The sequence below is a fragment of the Homo sapiens genome, chromosome 21 (assembly GCF_000001405.40).
Source record: "Homo sapiens chromosome 21, GRCh38.p14 Primary Assembly".
Taxonomy (NCBI): Eukaryota; Metazoa; Chordata; class Mammalia; order Primates; family Hominidae; genus Homo; species Homo sapiens.
In genome coordinates this window covers 42323796-42351476 of record NC_000021.9, presented here as the reverse complement: position 1 = coordinate 42351476, position 27681 = coordinate 42323796, and the positions used below count along the sequence as shown (strand labels likewise).

Below are 27681 nucleotides of genomic sequence, written 5' to 3'. Positions count from 1 at the left end.
GGGAGGCTCTAACCACAGCCCTGGGAGCAGTCTCTTACCTCCTCTGAGATGCTTCCCTTCCTCAGGGAGGGGACTTTTCCATGCTATCTGCTGGCCTGTACATTTTCCCCAGTAAACTTGGCCCTAATATTTTCTAAATTCCTGTGGTCCCTGCCCACTCTATCAATAGAAATGCATAGCTTATCCCTTCCTGGGTGTGACCCTGTGTGTGCCCAGCCCCAGACCTGCACGTGGCCGGTTTTCCACGCTGGCAGCCTGGCATGACCCAACTCTCTGTCCAGGGCAGGAAGAGGTATCACCGAGCAGGGAGAGAGTCACCCTGGCCCGGAAGCCTCGCCTGCACAGGGCACAGCTGCCTCTTGCCTCCTCTTCGCCTCCACGGTGGAAGGGCTGGGGCCACGGGGCAGAGAAGAAAGGTTATCTCTGCTTGTTGGACAAACAGAGGGGAGATTATAAAACATACCCGGCAGTGGACACCATGCATTCTGCAAGCCACCCTGGGGTGCAGCTGAGCTAGACATGGGACGGCGAGACGCCCAGCTCCTGGCAGCGCTCCTCGTCCTGGGGCTATGTGCCCTGGCGGGGAGTGAGAAACCCTGTAAGTGAAGGAGAGGGTCTTTTTATGTGCTTTCTTTATTTCTCTTAAAGAAAAAAAAAAAGCACAACCATAAATTAACTTGAGAGGGGGAATGGCTATAAAGGCATCTGGCAATGTGTGTTGTTCACATGGGATTTGCCACTGCTCAGGAGGGTGGCTCCAAGAAGGGCCTCCCTCCTAGGGAAAGGCTGAGTGACGGCAGGTGTCAGCGGGCCCCGTGTCGGGCCAGGAGGGCATTCCCACCAAGGGTCCTTGGAGTCCCAGAGCACTCACCTCTCGCCTGGATCTTGGCCTTGGGTCCATCTGTTCACCCTCCTCTAGGAGGGTTTTGTTTTTGTTTTTTTCCGAGACAGGATCTGGCTTTGCCGCCCAGGCAGGAGTGCAGTGGTGTGATCTTGGCTCACTGCAACCTCTGCCTCCCAGGCTCAAGTGATCCTCCCACCTCAGCCGCCTGAGTAGCTGAAACCACAGTTGTGGACCATCATGCCCGGCCAATTTTTTTTTTTGTATTGTTTGTAGAGATGGGGTTTCGACATGTTGCCCAGGATGGTCTTGAACTCCTGAGCTCAAGCAATCTGCCCGCCTCGGCTTCCTAAAGTGCTGGGATTATAGGTATGAGCCACCATGCCTGGCTTTTTTTTTTTTTTCCTTTTAAACTAATATAACAATTTCAGCAAAGCCCTATCGGCTTCTCAGGAGGAAACCGCATTGCTTAAATATGGGCAAGATAAGACTTTGTGTTTCTCTATGTGGCAACAAGACAGTAGAGGCATCCCCTAGAACCTCTGAGAGAAGGAGCAGTGTGGTCTGGGGTACCAGGGTGGGGCCGACTGAGGGTCTTTCCACAGCCCCCTGCCAGTGCTCCAGGCTGAGCCCCCATAACAGGACGAACTGCGGCTTCCCTGGAATCACCAGTGACCAGTGTTTTGACAATGGATGCTGTTTCGACTCCAGTGTCACTGGGGTCCCCTGGTGTTTCCACCCCCTCCCAAAGCAAGGTAATCTTCCAGGGAATCTTCCTGGGCCAGCAGCTGGCAACCCAGGACCCAGCTTCACAGGCGGAGCCCAGAGCAGGGGCCGGAGGAGGCCCAGTTGCTAGTCTAGGGTTAGCCTGGGTGGGTTAGTCTCGAGCTAGCCCCGGTTGGTTAGTCTGGGGCTAGCCCAGGTTGGTTAGTCTAGAGCTAGCCCAGGTTGGTTAGTCTGGGGCTAGCCCAGGTTGGTTAGTCTGGGGCTAGCCCAGGTTGGTTAGTCTAGGGCTAGTGTAGGCTAGTTAGTCTAAGGCTAGCCCAGGTTGGTTAGTTTGGAGCTAGCGCAGGTTGGTTAGTCTGGGGCTAGTAGCCCAGGTTGGTTAGCCTGGAGCTAGCCCAGGTTGGTTAGTCTAGGGCTAGCGTAGGCTGGTTAGTCTGGGGCTAGCCCAGGTTGGTTAGTCTGGAGCTAGCCCAGGTTGGTTAGTCTGGGGCTAGTAGCCCAGGTTGGTTAGTCTGGGGCTAGCCCAGGTTGGTTAGTCTAGGGCTAGTGTAGGCTAGTTAGTCTAGGGCTAGCCCAGGTTAGTTAGTTTGGAGCTAGCACAGGTTGATTAGTCTGGGGCTAGTAGCCTAGGTTGGTTAGTCTGGAGCTAGCCCAAGTTGGTTAGTCTAGGGCTAGCATAGGCTGGTTAGTCTGGGGCTAGTAGCCTAGGTTTGTTAGTCTGGAGCTAGCCCAGGTTGGTTAGTCTAGGGCTAGCGTAGGCTGGTTAGTCTAGGGCTAGCCCAGGTTGGTTAATCGGAGCTAGCCCAGGTTGGTTAGTCTGGAGCTAGCCCAGGTTGGTTAGTCTGAGGCTAGTAGCCCAGGTTGGTTAGTCTGGGGCTAGCCCAGGTTTGTTAGTCTGGAGCTAGCCCAGGTTGTTTAGTCTGGAGCTAGCCCAGGTTGGTTAGTCTGGGACTAGCCTGGACTGCTAGTCTAGAGGTAGCCTAGAGGACTGCTAGTCTAGAGGTAGTCTAGGGCTAGCCCAGGTTGGTTAGTCTGGGGCTAGCCCATGTTGGTTAGTCTTAGACTAGCCTGGACTGCTAGTCTAGAGGTAGCCCAGGTTGTTTAGTCTGGTACTAGCCTGGACTGTTAGTCTAGAGGTAGCCCAGGTTGGTTAGGTTGGTTAGTCTGGGACTAGTCTGGACTGTTAGTCTAGAGGTAGCCCAGGTTGGTTAGTCTGGGACTAGCCTGGACTGTTAGTCTAGAGGTAGCCCAGATTGGTTAGTCTGGGACTAGTCTGGACTGCTAGTCTAGAGGTAGCCCAGGTTGGTTAGCCTGGGGCCAGCCTGGACTGTTAGTCTAGAGGTAACCCAGGTCAGCCAACAGTGAGATGAAAATTTCCCACCTACCCTGTTTCTACACTGTTAGTTCTTTCAACAGACATGTGTGTGTGGAGCCATCAGTTTTACTTTAGTTGAGAAAAAAATATATATATATATAGTAGGTCTCCTCTAGTTTTTGAAGTGTGACTTCTGAAGAAGCTTCCATGGGGAAATGAAGGTATTTAATAGGACAGCAGTAACATAAGGGCTGACAGCCCTCAAATGTTAGGGAAGGAAGTGAAGCCTTCTAGGGTTCTTTGGGAGTGAGTTTTATGTTAGTGCACGGGATCAGGACCCAAGTTGTAACGCCGACGAGTGCTCAAAGGAAGGTTGTGTGTGTGTCGTGCACCTGTGTGCGTGGAACCAGGCACGTCCTCTGGAGAAGGAGGATTCATCCCCAAGATTGTTGCTGGGAGGCTTGCTGGGCCCCGCAGGGAAACCAGGCAGATGGTGGATTGTTCACGAGCGCCCACTGAATGGCAGTGTCTTTGGGAATCAATACCATGTCCAAACGCTTTCCATCTTACCAAGGTGCCCACAAACCTTTTCTCATCTTGGCCCGGGGGACCACCCCATTTACTGAGAACACTGAGTCCCGAGAGGCAAAATGATTTCCCCAAGGCGGGGGACTCCAGAGCTTCTGACTGTGACCACCCCACATGGGCCCCACCTTCGCGGAGGACAGGCCAGCCAAGCGTCGCTGGGGCCGACACTTCCACAGTCCCCGGGGGAGGCGGTCCCAGGGGCCGACACTTCCACAGTCCCCGGGGGAGGCCGTCCCGGGGGATGCTGCCCCAGGCAGCACCTCATGATCCACGGAGGCTGCAAATCAGCGCTGCTCTCAGAGGAGGAAGGGGTGGAGCTTTCCAGGGCACAGCAGGCCTGACTGGGTCTCGGTGCTGTGCCTGTCCCATGGCAGAGTCGGATCAGTGCGTCATGGAGGTCTCAGACCGAAGAAACTGTGGCTACCCGGGCATCAGCCCCGAGGAATGCGCCTCTCGGAAGTGCTGCTTCTCCAACTTCATCTTTGAAGTGCCCTGGTGCTTCTTCCCGAAGTCTGTGGAAGGTAACGTCGCTGTGGGACTCTCTGTCTGGTTCCCGGACACCATGATTCCTCCTCCGTCCGTAGAGGTGGGGTGCAGGGAGGGGAGCTGCCTCGCAGCCTCAGTGCCATCGAGGCCAGGGCCCCTGCCTCCTATGGGATTCTGAAGGCAATTCCAGAATGTTCTTGGCAAAGACAGCGTCTTTTCAATAAGTTTATAGCCTCCAGCATTGCCACTGCGTCATCTGTGATGGCTCTAGAAACAGCGGCTCATCCCTGTTGCCTCCCCAGGTGTTGCAACGTTCAGAGGCGTTGCCTGTTTTATTGCAAGCCCATCTGCATTTGGAGGCTACTGAGTGTCTTGCACTGTGCTGGGTACCAGAGAGGGCCCAACTCAAGCAGACCTGGCCCCTTCTCCCGTGGCTTCCCCGTTCTCCCCCACATGACCCCGAATGACAAACCTCATCCACAACGTCCTGCTCCGGGCAGTCCCGGGAGGGTCCCGCCGGCAGAGGTGAACGGGTCCACTTCTCCCACCCGCTTAGTGATAGTGTGTTCCTGACTCGGAGTGTGGCGAGGTAAAAAAAGACCAAGCAGATCCAGGAAAATGGGGAAAGAGCTACTGGCCCTTGAAGGATGCCTTTTCTTTTCCTTTTGTTAGGATATCAAAGCACTCCAAAGAGCGAAATATTTCATGTTCAGGATTTTCCGAGTGATTTTTTTTATGTGACCTAAAGGTCCACCTAGAAAATGTTCACTTGTCTGGGGAGAATGCGCCCCACAGAGGAAACTCTGGCCTGGGGTGGGAAGATTTGGTCCCTTTACACCCCCTCCCCGGGAAAGGAGCTCCTTCTTCAGTAGGAAGCTCCTGGGCAAAGTGATGCACGCCCACCCCAGCTTCGCAGCCTAGGCACTCCCATTTCTGGGGTTCCCTTACCAACCATCTTGCATTTAAACTTCTAGACTGCCATTACTAAGAGAGGCTGGTTCCAGAGGATGCATCTGGCTCACCGGGTGTTCCGAAACCAAAGAAGAAACTTCGCCTTATCAGCTTCATACTTCATGAAATCCTGGGTTTTCTTAACCATCTTTTCCTCATTTTCAATGGTTTAACATATAATTTCTTTAAATAAAACCCTTAAAATCTGCTAAATTTCTTTTTGGTTTCATTAACACAGAGGTGGTAATGGTGGTGTGCGTGTGTACACATGTATGGGTGTGTGTACCCATGTATGGGTGTGTGTACCCATGTATGGGTGTGTGTATATGTGCGAATGTGCATATGTGTGAGTGTATATGCAGGGTTTTTTTGTGTGTGTTTTGAGACAGAGTCTTGCTCTGTCACCCAGGCTAGAGTGCAATGGTGCAATCTTGGCTCACTGCAACCTCCTCCTCCCAGGTTCAAGCTATCCTCCTGCCTCAGCCTCCCGAGTAGCTGGGATTACAGGTGCCCACCATCACACTGGCTAATTTTTGTGTTTTTAGTAGAGATGGGGTTTCACCATGTTGGCCAGGCTGGTCTCGAACTCCTGACATCAAGTGGTCCTCCCAAAGTGGATGACTTTGGCATCCCAAAGTGCTGGGATTACAGGCGTGAGCCACCATGCCTGGCAGTTTTAATGTCCCTTCCATTTTTCTAAGAGAAAAAATTCATCAAATACATTCAGGTTTCTCTAAAAGCAATAAAAAAGTATTGCATGTAAGAACATTTCAGAATTCACAATCACTTTGTAACTCCCATTCTCAGTCCTTTTTATAAAAACTCAAATGACTAGCCCTAAAAACCTCTTGGAGTGATACGTGACTTCAGATTGCAATTGCAAAATCCTTTCTCTTTGACCGAATGCATCGCAGACCCCTCGATTTTGAGACGATTGTGCGGCAGCCGGTCGTCTCCTATTTCTAAGGCAAGCAGGGAGGGGCCTTGACCAGGTAGGCCAAAAATTCTCTCCCAACTCTTTGCTTCTGTGTTTTCTGGCCTCTGCCTGAGGGTAGCTTTGGTAATCTGCTAACAGTTGAGGATATTCAAGGGAGGAAGTTGACAGCATTTCATTAAGGCAATGCCAGCCGTGCGGAGATCACTGTGTGAAATATTCTTATTTATTCATTATTATTATTATTATCGTACCAATTGACAGGGTACGTGTGCAATTTTGTTACATGTGTAGTTTGCATAGTAGTCAAGTCAGAGCTTTTAGGGTGTCCACCACCTGAATCACGTACACTGTACCCATTAACTAACTTCTCATCATCTGCCCCCTACCCCCGTCAGCCATCCACATGTCCATTGCCCACCATTCCTCTCTATGTGCACGTGGACACATTTTTAGCATCCACTTACGAGTGAGAACAGGTGATATTTGACTTTCTGTGTCTAGTTCATTTCACTTAAGATAATGACCTCCAGTTCCATCCATGTTGCTGCAAAAGACATGATTTAATTCTTTTTATGGCTGAATATTATTTCATTGTGTATACATACCACTTTTTAAATCCATTTGCCTGTTGATGGACACTTAGGTTGATTCCATATCTTTGCTATTGTGAATAGTGCTGCGATAAATGTACAAGTACAGGTATCTTTTTGATAGAATGATTTCATTTCCTTTGGATAGATACTCAGTGGGGACTGCTGCATTGAATAGCAGCTCTGTGTTTAGTTGAAAGATTCTTTTGTGTCTCCTTTAAGAGGTCCTGGTGTCATTCAGCTCGGTGGTGGGAGTGCAGAGTGGATGACGCTAGGCCAGTCTTTCTGTTGCTTCCCCCAACATCCCTCTCCTACCCGAAGCCAATTGCCTTAGCAAATGTGTCACCCAATAGCCCACTCCTGTCACCCCAGAAAATCCAAGGCCTCTGCCCTCCAGGGTGGGTTGGGGCCAGTGCCACTAGCTTCCTATTGGAAGATGGGAGTATTAGGAAGTGCTTCTTCAAGGAACGGATGTGGCCTTACATCAACTCTCCGGATGCCTGCTTTGCGAGGAGGCCACATGCTGCCTTGGGTCTCAGCTGTGTCTCAGTCTTACCTACAACATATCATCAGCTCAATGAACAGTGGCCCTTGTTAGCAACACGGGGTCTCAGAAACACTCAAGATAATCAGGTGGCGGAGACGGATGCTCATGTTTGTGAATTTATCCTTCCCAGACTGCCGTGTCCTCTCTCGTTTGTCCCCCCCAGTACACTTAGTTTATGGGTTCCAGGGTCAGCCAGCCCTGGCCACACTGGCGGAAAAGCCAAATCAGGCCAGTGGATTCCTGGAAAGGGTGGTTGGCATGCTCTCCAGGGGCATGTGAATTTTCTGTGCCTCCCGGGTGAAGAGTGTGGAGGTTCTGCTCCCGGAGTTGGCACTGGGGCCTTCTTGGGTGCCGGATGAGGTGAAAGCTTCTGGTTTCATGCCTCTTCGGGCAGTTTCTGGTCTGCAGACTTTTGTTCTCAGGCAGTTGTCTGCAGGCCACTTGGCATGAGGCTCTAGGTGCAGGAACGTCTTTAATATGTGGGCACTTGTGTTTCCCATGGTGTCTTTCTGGGAACTTTCTTCTCATGCTGGTACTCCAATCCCATTTCCTCCTTCAGAAATTCTCTGATCCATGAAGGCCCCAGTTTCTGAACCAGTTCCTACATTGCCCTTCGGATCCTTGAGCAGGCATTCTGAAGCAACTTCCGTTGTGTTTGCCATGGGCCTGGGCTTGGGGGTCCGTGGGCCACTCTGATCTGTTACCGATAGTACAGCTCCTGCTGGCTCCAGCACTATGAGTGAGTTAATTAACCACGTGCCACCACAAGATAGCTCAGAGTGGGCCACCCCCTTCCTCCTCCTTTGGGGGGTCCCCCCAGGGGCCCTGGAGCAACAGCTGGTGACATTTGAACCCACCCCTTGAGTAAAACAAGGCTTCCTTTTCCCTTCGCCCTCTTTTCCATTTTCTCCCCCAATCATTGCCTCCCTGCCCCTTCCTCCTGGGGTCTCCTGCTGCTTCTCGTCTCCTCTGCTTGCCCCTGGTTCCCTTCCCTTCTGTTCCCTTTCCCTGCAGAGGCTCCAATAATCCCTATCCAGTGCAGGCAGGGACCTCATGGATGGCAGAGCCGGTGAGGCTTGGCGGGAGGGCCCAGTGGCCATCGACCTAACCAGGACAGCCGCTGCGGCCCTCAAGTCAACTGCCTGCCCTCCTGGCTCCCTGCGCTCCTCCAGGTCCCTGCCTGGCTGGTCCAGGTAACAGAGATGGCTTGAGAAGCAATTATAGGAGACGGGGTCGGTCAGCTCGCTGGGGGTGGGAACAGCAGGAGCTGTCACCATGTGTGCAGGTTGATGGCCCAGGTGGGTCACCGTGGGGAGGTTTTTAAAAATCTCTCAGATTCTCAGGCTTTCTGTTTGTAAAATATGAGTAATGATTACTTCCCTAGCAGGGTTCTGGCGAAAATTAAAAATAACGTTTGTGGCTGGGCATGGTGGCTCAGTCCTGTAATCCCAGCACTTTGGGAAGCCAAGAGAGGAGGATTGCTTGAGCCCAGGAGTTCAAGACCAGCCTAGGCAACATGCTGAGACCCCATCTCTACAAAAAATACAAAAAGTAGCTGGGCACACCTTTAGTCCCAGCTACTCAGGAGGCTGAGGTGGGAGGATTGCTTGAACCCGGGGAAGTGAAGGCTGCAGTGAGCCGTGATCACACCACTGCACTCCAGCCTGGGTGACAGAGTGAGATCCTGTCTCAAATAATAATAATAATAATAATAATAATAATAATAATAATAATAATAATAATGTTTGTGAGCTGCCTGGTGCACACAGCAGGCCCCCACTACATGGAGCTCCTGCCAGAGGCCGCCGGTGGCCTTGTGGTCTTGTCCTGTGGCCTCCTATAAAAAAGCATCTTCCAAGGAGAATGGCTTGAACCTGGGAGGCGGAGGTTGCAGTGAGCTGAGATCACGCCACTGCGCTCCAGCCTGGTGACAGAGCGAGACTCCGTATCAAAAAAATAAACAAACTTCTTCCAAGTACCATGTAGGACAGCCAGCTCTGCCTCCAGAATGTGGTAATCCTGGATAACACACACTTATTCTTTATATATTCACTATACCTAGCGCTCGCCGCATACACAGTCATGCACCACGCATGACAATGTTTTGGTCAACAGTGGGCCTCGTATATGACTGTGATCCCATAAGGTTACAATGAAGCTGAAAAATTTCCATCACCTGGTGACATCAGGGCCATTGTAACGTCACAGCATGACGCGTTACTAAGCTGTTTGTGGGAAGGCTGGAGTCAACACACCTACTGCACTGCCAGTTGTATGAAAGTACAGCACATAAAATCATGTACACCACCTAATACTGGCTATGATTATAAATGGCAGTGTGACTGGCTTATGTACATACTACACTTTTTATTGTTATTTTAGAGTGTACTCCTTCTACTTATATAAAAACAGTTAACTGTGAACAGCCTCAGGCGGGCCCTTCAGGAGGTTCCAGAGTCAGGTATTGTTATCATAGGAGATGACAGCTTCCTGCGTGTTACTGGCCCTGAAGACCTTCCAGTGGGACGAGATGTGGAGGTGGACGACGGTGGCAGTGAGAATCCTAACCCTGCGAGGGCCTCGGCTAATGTGTGTTTGTTTTAGCTTTTAACAAAAAGTCTAAAAAAGTTAAAAAATATTAAAATTACTAAAAAGTTTATAGAATAAGGATATAAAGAAAGAAAATATTTTTGTACAGTTGCACAATGCATTTGTGTTTTAAGCAAGTATTATTAAAAAGAGTCAGAATTTTGGCCAGGTGTGGTGGCTCACGCCTGTAATCCCAGCACTTTGGGAGGCCGAGGCAGGAGATCATGAGGTCAGGAGTTCAAGACCAGCCTGACCAACATGGTAAAACCCCATCTCTACTAAAAGTACAAAAATTAGCCAGGTGAGTTGGCAGGTGCCTGTAATGCCAGCTATTCAGGAGGCTGAGGCAGGAGAATTACTTGAACCCGGGAGAAAGAGGCTGCAGTGAGCTGAGATCACACCATTGCACTCCAGCCTGGGCCACAGAATGAAACTCCATCTCAAAAAAAAAAAAAAAAGAAAAAGAAAAAAAAGAATTTTTAAAAATTAAAAAAAATATAAAGTAAAAATGTTACAGTAAGTTGAGGTTAATTTTATTATTGAAGAAAGAATAGTATTTTTTATAAATGTCGTGTGTTTATGAAGTCTATGGTAGGACAGTCGTGTCCTGGGCCTTCGAATTCACTCCCCACTCCCTCCCTGTCTTGTCCGGTCCTGCAAGCTCCGTTCATGGTAAGTGCCTACATACCGTCCCATTCTTTATCTTTCACACCATGTTTTGACTGTATCTTTTCTTTTTTCTTTTTTTTTTTGAAAAGGAGTCTCACCCTGTTGCCCAGGCCAGAGTGCAATGGCACCAATCTCGGCTCACTGCAACCTCCGCCTCCTGGGTTCAAGTGATTCTCCTGCCTCAACTTCCCAAGTAGCTGGGATTACAGGCACTCGCCACCACACCCAGCTAATTTTTGTACTTTTAGTTGAGACGGGGTTTCACCGTGTTGGTCAGACTGGTCTCGAACTCCTGACCTCAGGATCTGCCCACCTCGGCCTCCCAAAGTGCTGGGGATACAGGCATAAGTCACCATGCCCGGCCTTGGCTGTACCTTTTCTATGTTTAGATACACAAATGCTTACCACTGCGTTACGGTTGCTTCCAGTGTTCAGTCCAGTCACTCGCTGCACGGGTTTGCAGCCTGGGAGCCAACCGTGCAGCCTGGGTGTGCAGCAGGCGCTGCCCTCTAGCTATGCATTAAGCACATTCTACGGTGTTCACACAACGACAAAACCCCTCATGACGCGTTTCTCACAACATTTCCCTGTCGTTAAGTGCTGCACAGCTGTATGTGCACAGGCACTTTAGTGCTGATTTATAGTGGGTATCTATACAGTACGTTCTGGCATTCATGTAGTTAAGCTCTATGAAGTCGCTGCCAGCCCTGACTTAGTGAATCTGGAACCCTCGCTCCTGGGGAAGTACAGGGTCAGGTTTCTGCAAGCTTCTGGGAGCATTTCATTAACCAGCCATATGTAGCCAGGCTCGAGGGTGTTTCCTGTAGACACCTTGTGGAGTGCACACGGTGGTTACATTAATGCTGAACTCCAGGCCGGCACCCTGTCTCCCAGCCCCAGTGAGGCTGCCCTGCCCCTGGTGTTTTCCCCAGAGGCATATCACCTCACACCCAGGACACCAGACAGCTCCTCACTATGGCACATGGGGGCATCTTAAATGGGAAATCACCAACAACAGGCATAAAAACGTGGCACTACATAGACCAAGAAAAGGACATTAGTTCACAGTATGGGTTGAGGCAAGAAGGCCTTGTGTGGCTGGGCATGGTGGCTCATGCCAGTAATCCCAGCACTTTGGGAGGCTGGGGCGGGCGGATCACAAGGCCAGGAGATCGAGACCATCCTGGCTAACACGATGAAACCCTGTCTTTACTAAAAATACAAAAGTTAGCCAGGTGTGGTGGCAGGCACCTGTAATCCCAGCTACTCTGGAGGCCAAGCCAGGAGAATTGCTTGAACCTGGGTGGTGGAGGTAGAGGTTGTGGTGAGCTGCGAGCGCACATTTGCGCTCCAGCCTGGGCGAAAAGAGCAAGACTCCATCTCAAAAATAAAAAAGGCCTTGTGTGACTTCAGTTGGGAATATGCATGTCTGTGACTCAAATTTGTCACCACTTTGTACGTTTCTGCAAACGACCTTGAAAGCACCCCAAGTATTGATTTAGGGTCACCAATAAATTTTAGTGAGTAGGCGAATTTGCAAATAGAGAATATGTAATGGGAATAGACTGCATATTCATTACATGCATTTTATATTCATTATCTATAGTTTGGAGTTGTGGTACACGCATGAATATCTCTAGCTATTGCTTCAGGGGCCAGCCCCAGTGTGATGTCCCCCTCAACCCACCCTGCCTTAGAAGCCCAATCTGACCCCCACCATGGGATGCTGGGCAGTTAACTGGAGTCAGGGGGCTGCAATGAGGGTGTGTGAATCAGATCTCAAAAATATCTATCGCACTTCGGCTCTACAGCGATTTCTCTCTCAGGGTCACTGTGTGACCTTGGACAAGTTACGTAGACTTTTTGACCCTAGTTTTACTCATATGCTAAGTACAGATATTCATAACATCTTCCCTTCTGGGTTTGTGGTGAGGCTTCATGAGTTGAATTAGGATGTGCTTAGAGCTGTTCTTGCTATGATTGTTCATACATGCACATCCTCATATCCTAGGCCCATTCTTCCGGGAAGACACACGTGGTCCTGGTTGTCTCACAGTGACTGTCCCAGTGGCGGGCACCCGGCCATCAGACCCTCAGCATTCCACCTGCTCACACAGGAGGGCCAATGCCTACCAAGCCCCTCCATAAGCACATCGGGGTTCCTCTCCCAGGGGCTCTTCCATGGTTGCCTACCTCTGCCTCACCTGCCTGTGGCCCTGGCTAATGCTGTGGTCCTGACACATAGCTATCCCCACCCCAAGCTGGAACTCTGCTATTGTACCTCTCCCAGAAACCCCTGGGGGCCTGCCCTTGCCAGTGAAATAGGCAGGCGTGTTGCCTTCCCTCTTGCTGCACTTTGCTGGGTGGGCCACGGCAAGGATGCCTGAGCCTTGGGGCCCCCAGGCGTGGAGCAAGCAGCCGTTTCTTCCTTGTGGAAGCAGCGTGGACACTGCAACCCATGAGGCCACCATTTCAGGGCCATGCATGCAGGAATATATACAGCGTGTGTCTTCTGGGTCTGCAGCCACTCGGCACTGGCTGGGAGGGAGCAGCCCCACCTTCCTCCAGCTAGTGGAGGGACCAGGCCACAGGGAGGTGCAGCCTGGCCACTGCGCCCTCTCAGTAACTAGCAGCAGCCCAGGGGCCTCCAGACAGGCTGGGCAAGGACTGGTTCCCATGTGCAGGACCACAGCTCCCTGACAGCCTCTGTCTCCTCTGACGCCCCATCTGTCCCTCCAGCATCTGTCCCGCCCCACCGGCCTATTCCCCGAGTCAGCCCATCTCTGCAACAGAGCTTCCCCCACCTCAGCCCCCTCTCAGGTCTGTGTAAAGAGTGGTGGGAGGTTTTCAGCACTTTCCTGGGAACTTTCTCAGCTTCCAGGGAAACCAGGGGAGGGAGGAGTAGCCCCACTCCCGCTGAAGGGCTCTGATCTCAGCTCCTGCCAGGCCTCCAGCAGCGCGGACACGGATGAGCTGACACCATCGCAGGACGGCCGCCAGTTTTCCACAGGGCCCAGTGGCTGCAGCCTCTGTGTTTGTTTTCTGTGATCCAAAGACTGCTCAGCACTTAATAATTGTTTGACTTAATGTGGCGCAACCAGAAATGTGGCTTAGAGGAAGGAAGGGCCCTCTATTCAACCTTCCGAGCGCACAGGGCTCATTAAGGTGTTTTCCCCTAAAGAACCCTACAGGCTAATGATGCTCCACAGCGCCCTCTGCTATCCATGCTGGGGACAGACTCTCAGCCTTCCTGCAGCCCAATGGGCAAGTGGGTTCGGCTTCGGCATCTGACAACACGCAGCTTCCTGATGTCCAGAGAGAGATCTCAGTGCCTATCACACGTTGCAAATTGCCCCGTCATTTCATCAGTTCACTGTGTTCACATTAGTAACGCTGATGATGGCAATGCTCATGCCTTGAGATTTTTTTAAAAATTAGTTTCTCGGAGGTATAATTCACATACAATAAAACTCACCCATTTTAAATGAATCAGTTCATTGAGTTTTGACAAATGTATACAACTGTGTAAACACTACCACAATCAAGATGTAGAACATTCATTCCCTCCAAGAAAATCCCGTCGTGCCCTTTGCTGTCAATAGCCTCTCCCTAGCGCCAGAAAACCAAGAATCTGTGTTTTTTTGCTTTAGTTTCATTTCTTCTAGAATTTCAAGTAAGTTTAATCACACAGTGCAGACAGTGCACAGTCTTTGAAGTCTGTTTTCTTTCACACAGCACACAGCTTTCTTTGAGATTCTTCCAGGTTGTTGCACAGAAGGGTGGTTCGTTCCTTTTCATTGCTGAGTAGTATTCCACAGCAGGATACACTGCAATATGCTTACCTATTTACCAGGTGATGACATCTGGATTATTCCCAGCTTTTTACTATTATGGGTAAAGTTACTATGAACAATTATGCACATGTATGTGAAGGGATTTGGGTAAATGCTTGAGGAAATGCCTTTTTTCTTGGAAGTGTAGCTATGAGTGGATTTCTGGATAGTACGGTGTTATGTTTAACTTCATAAGAATCTGAAAAAATTGTTTTCCAAGGATTGAGCCATTTTGTCTCCCCAGCCACAATGGAGGAGATTTGCAAATGCTTACTACATCCTTGGTTTACTAGTCTTTTACATTTTAGCCATTGTGGTGTGTGGAATGTGATATCCTGTTTTCATTTTAATTTACATTTCACTAGTAACTAAGGATGTTGAACATCTTTTCATGAGCTTATTTTTCACACATCTTCTCAGGTAAAGTATCTGTCTAAATCTTCAACACTTTTTAACTCAGGTGTCTTTTTCTTCTTTGTAATGAGTTGTAAAATTCTTTATATATTCTGCATACAAGTCCTTTACTAGATATATTTTGTGCAAATATTTTCTCCTAGTCTGTGACTTACCTTTTCGTTCATTTCCTTAAGAATATTTTTCAAAGAGAAAATATCTTTAATTTTGATGAAATCTAGTTTTTCTCATTTTTCTTTTATGATTCAAACTTTATGTTTCCTACCTAGAAATCTCTGCCTAATTCAAGGCCACGGACGTGTTCTATTATATTCTCTTCTAGGAGTTTTATAACTTTGGTGCTTATACTTTTGTCTATGACACATTTTCAGTTCACATTTTTGTATAAATTTGTGCATTTTCCTTTGTTTTTAAGTGTCTGAAACAATTTTTGCAGCATTGGGACTGTTAGGTACTTGAAGCTTGGCTAGAATTTCCCTGTGAGATTATCTGGACATGGAGATTCTTACGGCTTTTTTTTCTGGGAATCCCGAAAGAACCAGCCCTTCAAGGTGGATCCCGGGGAGCCAACTGGGGCTAAATTCAAAATAGAGCCGTGTGGCCATTTGCTGACTAGACGTCACACACGTACTCTGCATTCCTGGAAACCCACATGTTTGCTTCGTTCTGGGACATTCATAGCTGCTCCTGTTCACTCCTGTATCAACGGCTACTGGAAAGCCTCCCCTCGGCCCCTGGAGCTCACCAGGAGAATGTGGCCCACATCTACCAATCAGAACTAAACAAGCGTCAACTAACCACAGCTAAGCAAGTTTGCATCCCCTATTTGCATAGCAGACGAGAGTGGGAACCCAGAGGGAGCTTTCTCTTTAAAAGACAACCCCTCTCTTTGTTGTCTCAGATTGCACCTTTGTTTTGTACCGAAGGGGGTGTCTCCCTGGTTTGCAAAATGTTTACTGGAATAAAGTCTCTTTCTTTTTTAAAAAAATAAGCAAAATCCTGTTTAATGATTTTGTTGACAGCTCCTTGATAACGTTTTCCATTTCTTCTACGGTTTATTTCAGCCCTATGTCTCTATTGGACCCATTTTGTTAAACTGTTATTTTCCTAGGAACTTACGCGTTTCATCTAGATATTAAAAATTAGTTGCATAAAGTTATTCAGGGTAGCCTCTTACCGTTTTTAAAGACTCTTCTGTTTCAATAGTTGTTTCCTTCATTGTCAATTCTTATTCTGGATATTTGTGGATCCTTTTTTCATTTTTTTTATTGGGTTAGCCAGTGGTTTGCATATTTTGTTTAATTTTTAAAAATAACTGGGATTGAATTTGTGAAAAAGAATTCCACTCTTTTTCTCTTCTGTACTTCATTGATTTCTTTCCCTTTGCTTTCTTTCAGCCTTTTTTCAACAAGCTATTCTTTTCCTAGTTTTCTGGTTTGGGAATTCAATTTATGGATTAATGGCATGTGTTTAAATCTATGCACTTTCCACTAATTACCATTTTAAATATTGCCCATAGATTCAGAAATGTGGTGTTTTTATTATCATAATTTCTAAAATATTCTATAATTTTGGTTAGTAATTTATCTTTTAGCCACAAGTATTTAATAGAAGATATTTCCATTTCCATGTGCAATAATGTTAATATTTTTTGGTTTTGTTGCACTTGATCATAGAGTGATTATAACATTTTTACTTTTCTTTTTTTGAGACAGAGTCTCTCTCTGTTACCCAGGCTGGAGTGCAGTGGCATGATCTTGGCTCACTGCAACCTCTGTCTTCCAGGTTCAAACGATTCTCATGCCTCAGTCTCCCAAGTAGCTGGGATTAAAGGCGTGCACCACCACACCTGGCTAATTTTGTGTGTGTGTATTTTTAGTAGAGACAGGGCTTTGCCATGTTGCCCCAGGCTAGTCTTGAACCCCTGGCCTCAAGTTATCATCCCTCCTTGGCCTCCCAAAGTGCTGAAATTACAGGCCTGAGCCACTGCACCCAGCCAAAACTTTTACTTTATGGAACTTATTGCTTTTTTGTGTGCAAATGTACCATTAAATTTTGTGAATATTTCATGTGTGCTTGAGAAGAAGTTGTATTAATATTGGGAATTAAACTTTGACATATCCATATGTATACATACATACACAGTGTATATGTCTATTCATCAGATCTGCCTTATTAATTATATTCCTTGAGTTCTATTTTTTTACTTACTTTTTTCTTTGTTCACTTGACTTGTCTTATCTTCAGAATGATGTTCTCATGACCAGTTATGGGTTTTGTCTATTTCTGCTTGTATCTCACTGTTTCTGGCTTATAAAATAAATATACTTTTCCTATCCCTTTCTTGGTGCAAAAATATTTATAACTGTTATTGCTCCATTGTGAACTGTGACCTGCCAAGCGTCTGTCTTCATCATGTCTGATGCCTGCTGGCCTGAATTCTATTTTGTCTGATGTTGAGATTGCAGCCCCTGCTCAGCTCAAGGTCCTAGTAGTTACATCAGTTTTGGTCATCAAGTGCTTCAAAGCTCTATGATTTTAGCAATATATTGATTAATTTTTCATCAGAATAGCTGTTGGTTAACAGCAGAAAGGAAAAGAAATACCAGTCAAGAAATGTAGGGGGCCGGGCGAGGTGGCTCACACCTGTAATCCTAGCACTTAGGGAGGCTAAGGTGGATGGATCACTTGAGGTCTGGAGTTTGAGACCAGCCTGGCCAACATGGTGAAGCCCTGTCTCTACTAAAAATACAAAAATTAGCCAGGCATGGTGGTGTGTGCCTGTAATCCCAGCTACTCGGGAGGCTGAGGCAGGAGGATCACTTGACCCTGGGAAGCAGAGGTTGCAGTGAGCTGAGATCGTGCCATTGGACTCCAGCCTAGGGGCAAGAGTGAAACTGTCAAAAAAGGAGAAAGAAAGAAAGAAAGAAAGAAAGAAAGAAAGAAAGAAAGAAAGAAAGAAAGAAAGAAAGAAAGAAAGAAAGAAAGAAAGAAAGAAAGAAAGAAAGAGAGAGAGAGAAAGAGAGAGAGAAAGAAAGAAAGAGAGAGAAAGAAAGAAAGAGAGAGAGGGAGGGAGGAATGAAGGAAGGAAGAGAGAAGAGAAGAAAGGTGCTAATGAGGAAGAGGATAAGACAATAATAATAAAAATGACAATAGTGCCAATTCATCTTATGCTTTTCAATAGGTAAGTTATCTGATGGATTGGCTTAAAAGTCTCATAGAGCACATCAAAATTTCTCTAGAATTAAAAATAAGGTTAAAAAGGAAAACAAATGACCATAATCTGAATTATTGCATTTTTGATGAAACGCTTATCTAAAATAAAATAGTTTTATATCAGTTCATCTTATCTTATGCCAGACAAGGTTACTGCAAATAAGTTTTTGTAAAATTCCAAACAAGATGGGTAAGATGGGTTTCTTTTCCCTGTGAAATGTGTTCACAAGTCAAAAAGGTTTGGGGGCCGGGCGCGGTGGCTCATGCCTGTAATCCCAGCACTTTGGGAGGCTGAGGTGGGCGAATCACTTGAGGTCGCAAGTTCAAGACCAGCCTGGCCAACATGGCAAAACCCCGTCTCTACTAAAGACACAAAAATTAGCTGAGCGTGGTGGTGCACACCTGTATTCCCAGCTACTCAGGAGGCTGAGGCAGGAGAATCACTTGAACCCTGGAGTTGGAGGTTGCAGCGAGCCAAGATCATGCCACTGCACTCCAGTCTGGGTGACAGAGTGAGACTCTGTCTCAGAAAAAAAAGGAGTGGGGTGGGGGTTGGGAAATGCGATCCCAGTGCTTGCTTCTGCATTCCTTGTCACTCACAATAACCCCATGAGCTTTGTATTATCTCTGGATTTCTCTGAACTCACCTGCTTTATGGCTGTGTTCTTTTGCAAACTGTACCTTGGCACATTGAGTGTATTGAATTATGACCAAATAACCCTCATTATGTCAAATAAACAAGCCCAGGGTCCCTGCCTCTCTTCCTGCCTTTGCTTTACCTGGAATCTATAAAAGTCTGATGATCAGCAGGCATTCAGCCTCCTTTGCTGAAGGTTTTTAATCATTCAGCCACCAGAGCCATGCCATTTGCTGGAAAACTGACTTCTGGGCTCAGAGGTCAGCACTGCACTGCAAGGCTCCAAACCTGTGAGCTTCGGGCCAGGTCAAGATGGTTTATTGTCTTCATTTACCCATCCCACTTTCACACACACCCTACTGCAATCAATGACTTCCATCCTCCTGCAGCTGGGGTGGCAGGGAGCTGAGCTGAGAGCCACTCCCACCCAAGCAGAGGAGGCTCAGGAGAAGAGCTAGAAGGGATGGTGAAGGCAAGGATCTGCTCCAGGAGTGAACAGTCACTCTGGGCATGAAACCTCGAGGGGGAGACAGCCCAGGAGGCTGGCCGGTGAGTTAGGTCAAGTCAAACTGAACAGAATCATGAGGGACTGATTGAGTATGTCTACAGAGTTTGCATCTTGAGACAGTCACAACCACTATAGAGTAGTCATTGTGTGTTTACTTCTTATAACAGCAATGACATCTGCTAACAGCAGGTGGACAGTGCTTCACCCTTCAGGTTGCACTGCCTACCATTGCTTGAGCCTCACACCTACCTTGCGAGGGTGGGCAAGGAAGGCATCATTATTATCCAGCAGGAAACTATGGCTGGATGTCCAATGACACCCACAAAACTTGAATTCCACTTTTCTGTCTCTAGACCCTATGGGGCATCACCTGTCAGTCTTCCTGTACCTCAGCAGAGATGAAAGTGAAGGAGATCAGAATTGCTATCCCCGAGATATGCCGCTTTGGAATAGGAATTATTTTGAGATGAAGGCAATGAAGAAGCATCAAATGCAGAAAGAGCACTTTGGCCTCCTTAATCTGCCTCAAAGCAGGACATAAATTTTCCTTTGTGAAGGTATTTCTTCCTCTCTCCCCTACCAGGGGACTGAAAGTTGGCACTGAGATGGGTCTGCACAAATGAACTTTACTAAAATAACCCTCATCTTCCATTAGTTTCCCTCAGATATTTACCTTCCCACAATTTCCCACCTCTAGGACTCCAAATTTCTTTCCCTTCCCCTTATCACTTCTCCATAATTTATTACCTATTGTTAAAGTGGTATATAAGCCCCTAGGTGTAACCACTTCTTGGGATCTTCATTTCTTTTCTATGAAGGTCTCTATGCACTTAAAAATTAAAATATCAACATCAAGTTTGTTTTCTTTTTCTCCTGTTAATCTTCCTTTTTAACAAGTTTAATTTGCAGAGAGCTGAAGAACCTAAGAGGGTAGAGGAGAGTGAAGAGCCCAGGTCATGGCCACTGCACCTTGGGTTCTTGAGCAGCTGCCATCTGGAAGTCAAGTACTCTTCTGCCCAAGGGCTGTCCAGGGCATCATCCACCATTTCTACTCTGAGTCTCAGGACTGTCTGGCCCTGCCCTGCTGCCCTGGAGAAAGGTATTTTCTTGTTGCATCTCCATTTACTATCCTCTTTCTCACCTCTCAAGTAACACATCTCCATTGACTCAGTCAGATCACCTCTGCCTGGCAGAGCCAATTCAGAGTCTTCTTTCCCTTTAAGACTTCCTCTATTAGGAGTGTTGTGCTAACATTGAGGCCTAAAACCACATATTTTTCCTCCCTGTTGACTGTATGTGTATCTGTGAATTGATTTTTTAAATGACCATATTTACCTTCTCAACCCCTCTTAATATGTTGAGCTGCTAGAGGACACGACATATCGATATGAATGCTGCATGGATTTCATAATGCTGGGGGCTGAGTTGGAGTTTATGATGCCTCCATGACTGCAGCTTTCTTATCAACACTGACCATATCATCTTCTTCTTTTGTAACCTCCCACAGCACCTGGACTGAAGGCTGTGCACACAGTGGATGTTAAATAAATATTGACTGATATTCTTTGTTCAATAATACTTCTGTCCATAGGAACTCAACAAATCTTAACTCTTTGGTAAAACTCCTTAAGACATTGAAAAACAAGATATCATATGAGTGCCACGGAAGTATGAATAATGTATTAAGGAGAGTTGGTATTTAGCTTCTTGCCATTTGATATGTAAAACAGGGCTATTATAAGTCTTGAGAACATGGGCTGCCTCTATAATGAAGAGCCACCAGGAGGCATTGGCAATTAAGGTAGGCTCTTGCCTGAAGATGTTGCCATATTTTGTGATCTCACACTTTGCTTTCAGTTCCTGGATGGAGTAAACAGTGAATGAGATGAATACATTACAGCAGGGAAAAAGCATCCTTTGAAACATGGAGCTGATGGTGAGTAGGAAGAGTCAAGTGAGAGGCATGCCTGCCTCAAACCTAAGAAATGTCCACAGGGCACCTTTAGCACAAACCACCCAGAGTCCTGTGGACACCAGCCCTGGAAAGGTAGCCGACTGTAAGGGGCTCCTCCTCCACACAGGGAAATCACCCTTTTCTCTGCACAAACAGGGAAGCCCCAGGGTAAGGCTCCAGAGGTCATGTGTGGTTTCCATCTGGGCCATCTCATACAGTCACTTTGCAGTTCTGATAGTCCCACCATGTTTTTGTTTTGGTAGACAACATATTTCTTAAGGGTGGGCCCTGCTTTCAATTTCTTTTGAATTCCCTAAAAACTACTCTCTAGTCATCTAGGCTAACAATTGCAGAGAATGTGGTGGGATTAGGCACCAGCTATGGTTGCATTTTATGAGATGTAAGGTACTTTCAATTCTGACCATTCTATTTCTAGATTCCCATGAAAAATCAAAGAGACCGTTTCTTCTCCTCTAGTGGTGAGCAGCCACCAATGACCCTTCTTCTCTTTGAACAAAGTAATGGTCATTTTCAAGAAGTCAGAAAAATAATCTTTAGTTTATGTTCTCTGACAGACTTCGAGGGGAGGGATGACCTGGGGCACAGCATGGGTGACACACCCATGGTGCATTTGATCCAGAGATTACTTGTATTAAACATTGACTCTTTCTAGTGCTTCTCCACTGGGATGTTAATTCCCTCTCTAGTTCAAGCTCCTTGCTTGTCCAGGACACAGTCAGGCACTCATCCTCAGGTGGATCTGTCGACTCTGCTAATATAGAGAGAAAGTTGAGATTGCACTGCAGGGGCCCAAAGACCTGGGAATTAAAATTTTAAAATGTGAAAGGACTTAAGACTTTTATTTGCCATCAAGCTGGATGCTTCTGGGATTTAAAAGTGGTTGTAAGAGTTAAAGAAAGAGGAAAGAAATGCAAAAAGTGGCTCAACAGTCAAAGACAGGTTGATTTTGGAGAATAAACCTGAGAGGGGCTTCTGGTCACTTTGGTCAGGAGCACTCTCTCTTACAGACTAAGAGTATTTATTGGTTTTAGGGTGAGAGCTTATCACAAGCTTGGAATGTTTCCGTGTTGGGGAGAACTTTATGGTGGGGTTGGAATGTCTCTGGCTGGAGGGGAGGTTATCTTGGGCCTGGCATGCCTCTGGTCGGGGAGGAGTTTATTTCTTATGGTTGGAAAGTTTCTGGTCAGAGATGTCATTTGTGGTTTATGGTCCTGCTGACCTTAGCCATTAGGCTGATGCCCTTTGGATTTAGGCAGTTTTTGATCAAGGTGAACTTTAAAATGGCGGTGCTTGTCCAAGATGGCAATGCTCCTACTCTGTCAGTGGTCCCTTCCCCATCCCTCACCAGATAAACCCCTGGGGTATTGGCCAGGCAACCGGGATGAAGCATGAGAATGGCCCCCAAACCAGGACCCATGTGCCACTCCCAGCCTCAGGGCTGGCTTCTCCCAGCCTCTCTCACACCCAGCAGCTGGGACTTGCTGCCCACACCACCTGCGTTATTTGGATTTCTTTAAATAAAAATTTTAAATAGCCATATGTCAAATGCCTTTCCTTGAATGGTATCTAATGTAGTGTCATCTATATATGTGCTACCCAGATTCATCAACTTGTCAGTTACTTATGCCTTGATGCCTCTCACTTTAAAAATGCCTCTCATTTTAAAAAGAAATAAAATCATAAAAGTACTCCTTTAATCCATCCTTTTTCCTCCCTCCCCAGAATTAACCACTCTTCCTGAGTCAGTGGGCATTATTCCCATGATACCCATAAACAATACATGGTATTATTTTGTTGTTTTTTAAAATAATCAGAAATGGTATCCTAGTATGCAGCCTTTTCAACTTATATCTTATTTTTAACTTTTGAAATGTATTTGCATTAATAAAAATATATTTGCTTCATTCATTTTAACATGTGTATAATATTCCACAGGATTCAATCCCCAATTGATAGGCAACTAGGTATAATGTTTCCAGTTTCTTTCTATCAGAACAATACGGACTTCTTCAATTTACTGGCTGTTGTCAAAATGCTTGCCAAAGAGGGTGTGTCAATTACCTTTTTGCCAGATTTGCATAAGAGTTTCTATTTCTCCACAACTTGTCGACATTTGGTAATCAGTGCAATCTGATGTTAAGTAAAGTGATATTTTAACATTGGTTTATTTGTAATTCCTTGACTTTTTGTGAGGTTGAGCTTCTTTCCATATCCTTATTGACTACCTAGCTTTTCTTTTCAGTGGCAATCCTATTTGTATATTTAAAAAATCATGTTATTTGTCTTTTTCTCACTGGTTTGAAGGAGTTCTTTACCTATCCTTTATAGCAATCCTTTGTCAGTTACATGGGTTTCAAATATCTTTTCCTAGTTCATGACTAGACTTTTTTTTTTACTCCTCTATCATGTCTTGATGAATAGATATCCTTAATTGTAATTGAGTCAGATTTATCAACTGCACCTTCATGATTTGTGCTATTTTAGAGCATCCTTTAAAAAATCTATTTAAAAAATTCTTTAAAACAAGGTTACAGGAAACAAAGTTAATATACAAAAATCAATGGTGTTCATATATTAGCAACAGGCAATTGAAAATCAAATGATCTTCCTTGAATAAAGACAGTTTTCCTTCTTCCTTTCTGATCTTTATGCCTTTTATTCCTTGCTTTATACCATTGCTAGAAGCACCATTACAATGTTAAATAAAAGTGATGAGAGTGGGAATTCTTGCTTTGGCCTAGATTTTAGGAGGAGAATATTCAATATTTCACCAGTTAGTATAATGTTGTATTTTTTGTAGATTTCCTTTATTAGCTTAAGAATGATCTCTTTATTCCGAGTTTTCTGGGAATTTTTATCATGTATCAGTGTTAATTTTGTTAAACGCTTTTTACACATTCATTGAAATGATTACATGTTTTAAAATTTTTTTCTGTTAAACTGCATTGATTATTTGATGTTAAACTCTACCTTGTTTTTCTTAGAAAAAAAAATCTACATCTTGACATATTGTTTTTATATCTTGCTGGGTTGAATTTGCTAATATTTTTATAAGTATTTTTCAATCTGTGTTGATGTTGCTCTTTCATTATTCATAATATATTTGTCAAGTTTTCATATTAGGCTTATGATGGCCTCATAAAGTGAGTCGGAAAATATGCCCAGCTCATCTTTTTCCTAGGTTTGTATGGATTAAAGGTCTTCATTTGTGTTTGGTAGAATGCAACAGTGAAACCACTCAAGCCTGCGATTTTCTTTGTAGGAAGGTTTTTGATAGCAACTTCAAAATTTTTAATAGACATAAGACTATTTAGGTTTCCTATTTTTTGTCTGTGTCCATTTTGGTAAATTGTGTTTTACAGGGAATTTGTTCATTTCATATTTAAGTTACCAAATTTGTTGGTATTAAGTTACTCTAAATATTATCTAGTTATCCTTTTAATGTCTGTACCATGATAGTAATAGCCTATCTTTCATTCCTGATGTTGGTAGCTTGTGTTTTCTTTATTTTTTCTCCTGACCAGTCTCGTTAGAGGTTTATCTTTTAAAAAGAAATATCTTCTCAAAGATTCAGCATTCTTAATTTTTTCTCTGGCTTTTTTTTTTTTCTTTTTTTTGAAAGAGTTTCACTGTCACCCAGGCTGGAGTGCAGTGGCATAATCTCGGCTCACTGCAGTCTCCGCCTCCCAGGTTCAAGAGATTCTCGTGCCTCAGCCTCTTGACTAGCTGGGATTGTAGGTGTGCATCCCAATGTCCAGCTAATTTTTTTGTATTTTTAGTAGAGACAGGGTTTCGTTTTGTTGGCCAGGCTGGTCTCGAACTCCTGGCCTCAAGTGATCCTCCCACCTCAGCCTCCCAAAGTTCTGGGATTATAGTCATGAGCCACCATGTCTGGCCACTTTTTTTTTTTTTTTTTTCTGATTTCACGCTGTCAGACTTTATGATATTGTCCCACAGGTAGTTGGGGCTTTGTTCATTTCTTCAACCTTTTTTTTCTTTCTATTCTTCAAACTGGATAATTTAAAGTGTGCTATCTTTTACGTTAATTGACTTTCCTCTGTCATCTTCACTTTACTCTAAGACTTCAATACGTTTTACTTTCATGTACATATTTACTATTCTTTCATTTACTTATTTATTTAGTTTATATTCACTGTAGATTTATTATTCACACATATACTTCTCAGTTCTTTTTGTTTTTTTCTTGAGACAGAGTCTTGCTCTGTTGCCCAGGCTGGAGTGCAGTGGTGTGATCTTGGCTTACTGCAACCTCCATCTCCTGGGTTCAAGTGATTCTCCTGCCTGAGCCTTCCAAGTAGCTCAGACTACAGGTGTGCACCACTACACCCAGCTAATTTTTTGTTTTTTGTATTTTTTAGTAGAGACGGGGTTTTGCCATGTTGGCCAGGCTGGTCTTGAAATCCTGACCTCCCGTAATCCACCCGCCTCAGCCTCCCAAAGTGCTGGGATTACAGGCATGAGCCACCACACCTGACTCCCCTCAGTTCTATACTTTCTACTTGGTTATTTTTACACAGTTTTTAAATTTTCTTTTTCTGGGATTTTCTATTTTTACATACATTATAAGCAATATTTCTTTATTTCCTCAAGCATACTTATACTAATTGTTTTAAAATCTTTATCTGGTCATTGCAATGTCTGGGTCATCTCAGGTTGATGGCTTTTTTTCTCTTCAGAACGCATGAGACATTCCTGTTGGTTGTGTGTTTAGTAATTTCCGATTGTGGCCAGGACATTGTGTTGCTACGTTGTGGGGAATGCAGATTCTGTTCTATTCCTCTGAAGATAGTTGTGTTTGCCTGTTTATTTATTTTGTATGTTTGTTTTGACAGGCAATCATCTCCATTGGATTCAAACGTCAAACTCTGCTTCTTGGGTGTCATTCAAACTTCAGTTTCTTCATCTTTAGCCAGAGTCTGTCCTGTATGTGGATGGTCCATGGGTCAGAGAGAGACTTGGGAAGGGTTTTCACACAGAATTTGGAGCTTCTCCTCTCTAGCTCTCTCCTTTCTGGGATTCCTCTTTCGCTTTCCTGCAGCTGGGTTTGCCCTTTTCTCAGTACAGTGATTCTCCAGCCTGAAGGACCACAGGTTTCCACTGGTGTTTTAGCCGCAACTATACAACACCCACTGTGACCTACCCTCAGGCAAAATCCCATACAGAAATAAATTCGCAGCATTCCCTCTCCTTCTTCCAGGGTCAGCTCCCCTCCAGGATCTCAGACAGCTGTGCTTGGTTTGTTTTTCTCACTTTCCAGTGCCATCAGGCCATTGCTTTGTGCTTTTTCCAGAGTTTTCATTGTTATATCAAGAAGGGCAGGGTCTAGTATGAGCTGGTTGACTATCTCTACTTTTAGTGACTTAAAGTTTTACTTTTCACTTTGGGCCTGTAATTCACTTTGAACACTGTGGGACTTGGACAGAGGGAGGAACAGGCACTCCCCCAGTTTTGGGCACGGAGACACAGACAAGCAATCCCAACACAAATGTGGCATATTGTCATGCTCTGACATACATGGTCATGCACAGACGGGGAAGGTACATGGATGCATGTGTGTGCATCTGGCCCTGCAATGGGTCAGGAAGCTGAGGAGCCACACAGCATAAACGGGACGGACCGCAGTACTAAGTGTCCTGGCTCAGGGGCACTGAGCACCCAGGCAGAGCTCGTCCAGCTCCCCAGGAAGCCAGCCAGGGCAGAGAGGAAAACTTGTTAATGGGTTGTTAAATTGTGGTTCTAAATTTACCTTTTTCAATGTAGATAATTAAAAATAGCTTAGCGTCATTAGGTGGGGATCTGAATTTGTCTTTTTAAAATACAGATAACTGATTGTCATGGTACCATTTATTCAATTGTCCTGTTTCCCCATTGATATCAAATATATTATCCACATTTTCTTATGTGTATGGATCTATTTCTGACCTTTCTGTTCTGCTCCAGTTGTCTGATTTTATCCCCGCACCCGTACTTCCCTGCTTTAAACACAGTAGTTTTGTAATCAGTCTTAATGTCTGATAGGATAGATATCTTCTGATTCTTCTTTTCCTCTTCCTGGGAACCGTTCTTTAAACTTTTACTAGGTATTTTTGGTGCTTTATCTTTTCATTTAAATCCTGAAGTCAGTTTGTGACATTTAATTACAATCTTCCTTTGAGACTTTGATAGAAAATAAGTTGAATATATAGTTTATTTTGAGAAAATTACCACCTTTAGAATCCATGGTCTTCTCATCCTTGAATAGGCACGTCTCTGCTTCCTCAATTCTTCTTTCAGGCCCTTCGGTAAAGTCCATAATTTGTCTGCACATCTAGTCTTCCCTTATACTCCAAAGTCTCTCATGGGAAGGAGCTACACATTTTTTGCCTTTGTTCTCTCTCACCAAAGTCTGTCACAGTTATCTGCCCAGTAGGAGCCCTCAAGAAACACATTTAGACCTCTGTCTTTGGGTTTTATATCTAAATACAGAATCCAATTGTCAGAGGCATATGAACCAGAGCAACTCCATCTTAAATAGGAGCTGGGTAAATGAGGCTGAAACCTACAGAGCTGCATTCCCAGACGGTTAAGACATTCTAAGTCACAGGATGAGATAGGCGGTCAGCACAAAATACAGGTCATAAAGACCTTGCTGATAAAACAGGTTGCAGTGAAGGAGCCGGCCAAAACCCACTGAAACCAAAATGGCCACGAGAGTGACCTGTGGTCGTCCTCATTTTTACACTCCCACCCGCGCCATGACAGTTTACAAATGCCATGGCAACGTCAGAAAGTTACCTTAGATGATCTAAAAAGGGGAGGCATGAATAATCCACCCCTTGTTTGCCATATCGTCAAGAAT

At 45.4% G+C, this 27681-nt stretch overlaps 1 protein-coding gene across 1 annotated transcript, besides 5 other annotated features; it reads left to right on the top strand.

The window, feature by feature from the left end:
• The first annotated feature begins 482 nt into the window (after window positions 1–482).
• Window positions 483–5120, top strand: TFF2 (trefoil factor 2). The gene is made up of 4 exons (NM_005423.5): window positions 483–598; window positions 1447–1596; window positions 3845–3991; window positions 4931–5120. The coding sequence occupies exons 1-4, from the start codon at window positions 520–522 to the stop codon at window positions 4942–4944; spliced, it is 390 nt and encodes a 129-aa protein (NP_005414.1). The 5' UTR covers window positions 483–519; the 3' UTR covers window positions 4945–5120.
• Window positions 7536–8035: an enhancer, noted in NCBI's record as "H3K27ac hESC enhancer chr21:43763551-43764050 (GRCh37/hg19 assembly coordinates)". NCBI's record gives its function as "activates a minimal SCP1, AML or CMV promoter by ChIP-STARR-seq in primed H9 embryonic stem cells {active_cell/tissue: H9 hESC(primed)}" and the evidence as "EXISTENCE:reporter gene assay evidence [ECO:0000049][PMID:30033119]".
• Window positions 11026–11095: an enhancer, noted in NCBI's record as "active region_18512". NCBI's record gives its function as "activates an Ori minimal core promoter by ATAC-STARR-seq in GM12878 lymphoblastoid cells {active_cell/tissue: GM12878}" and the evidence as "EXISTENCE:reporter gene assay evidence [ECO:0000049][PMID:35858748]".
• Window positions 12289–12418: an enhancer, noted in NCBI's record as "active region_18511". NCBI's record gives its function as "activates an Ori minimal core promoter by ATAC-STARR-seq in GM12878 lymphoblastoid cells {active_cell/tissue: GM12878}" and the evidence as "EXISTENCE:reporter gene assay evidence [ECO:0000049][PMID:35858748]".
• Window positions 12924–13619: an enhancer, noted in NCBI's record as "H3K4me1 hESC enhancer chr21:43757967-43758662 (GRCh37/hg19 assembly coordinates)". NCBI's record gives its function as "activates a minimal SCP1, AML or CMV promoter by ChIP-STARR-seq in primed H9 embryonic stem cells {active_cell/tissue: H9 hESC(primed)}" and the evidence as "EXISTENCE:reporter gene assay evidence [ECO:0000049][PMID:30033119]".
• Window positions 15098–15599: an enhancer, noted in NCBI's record as "NANOG-H3K27ac hESC enhancer chr21:43755987-43756488 (GRCh37/hg19 assembly coordinates)". NCBI's record gives its function as "activates a minimal SCP1, AML or CMV promoter by ChIP-STARR-seq in naive H9 embryonic stem cells {active_cell/tissue: H9 hESC(naive)}" and the evidence as "EXISTENCE:reporter gene assay evidence [ECO:0000049][PMID:30033119]".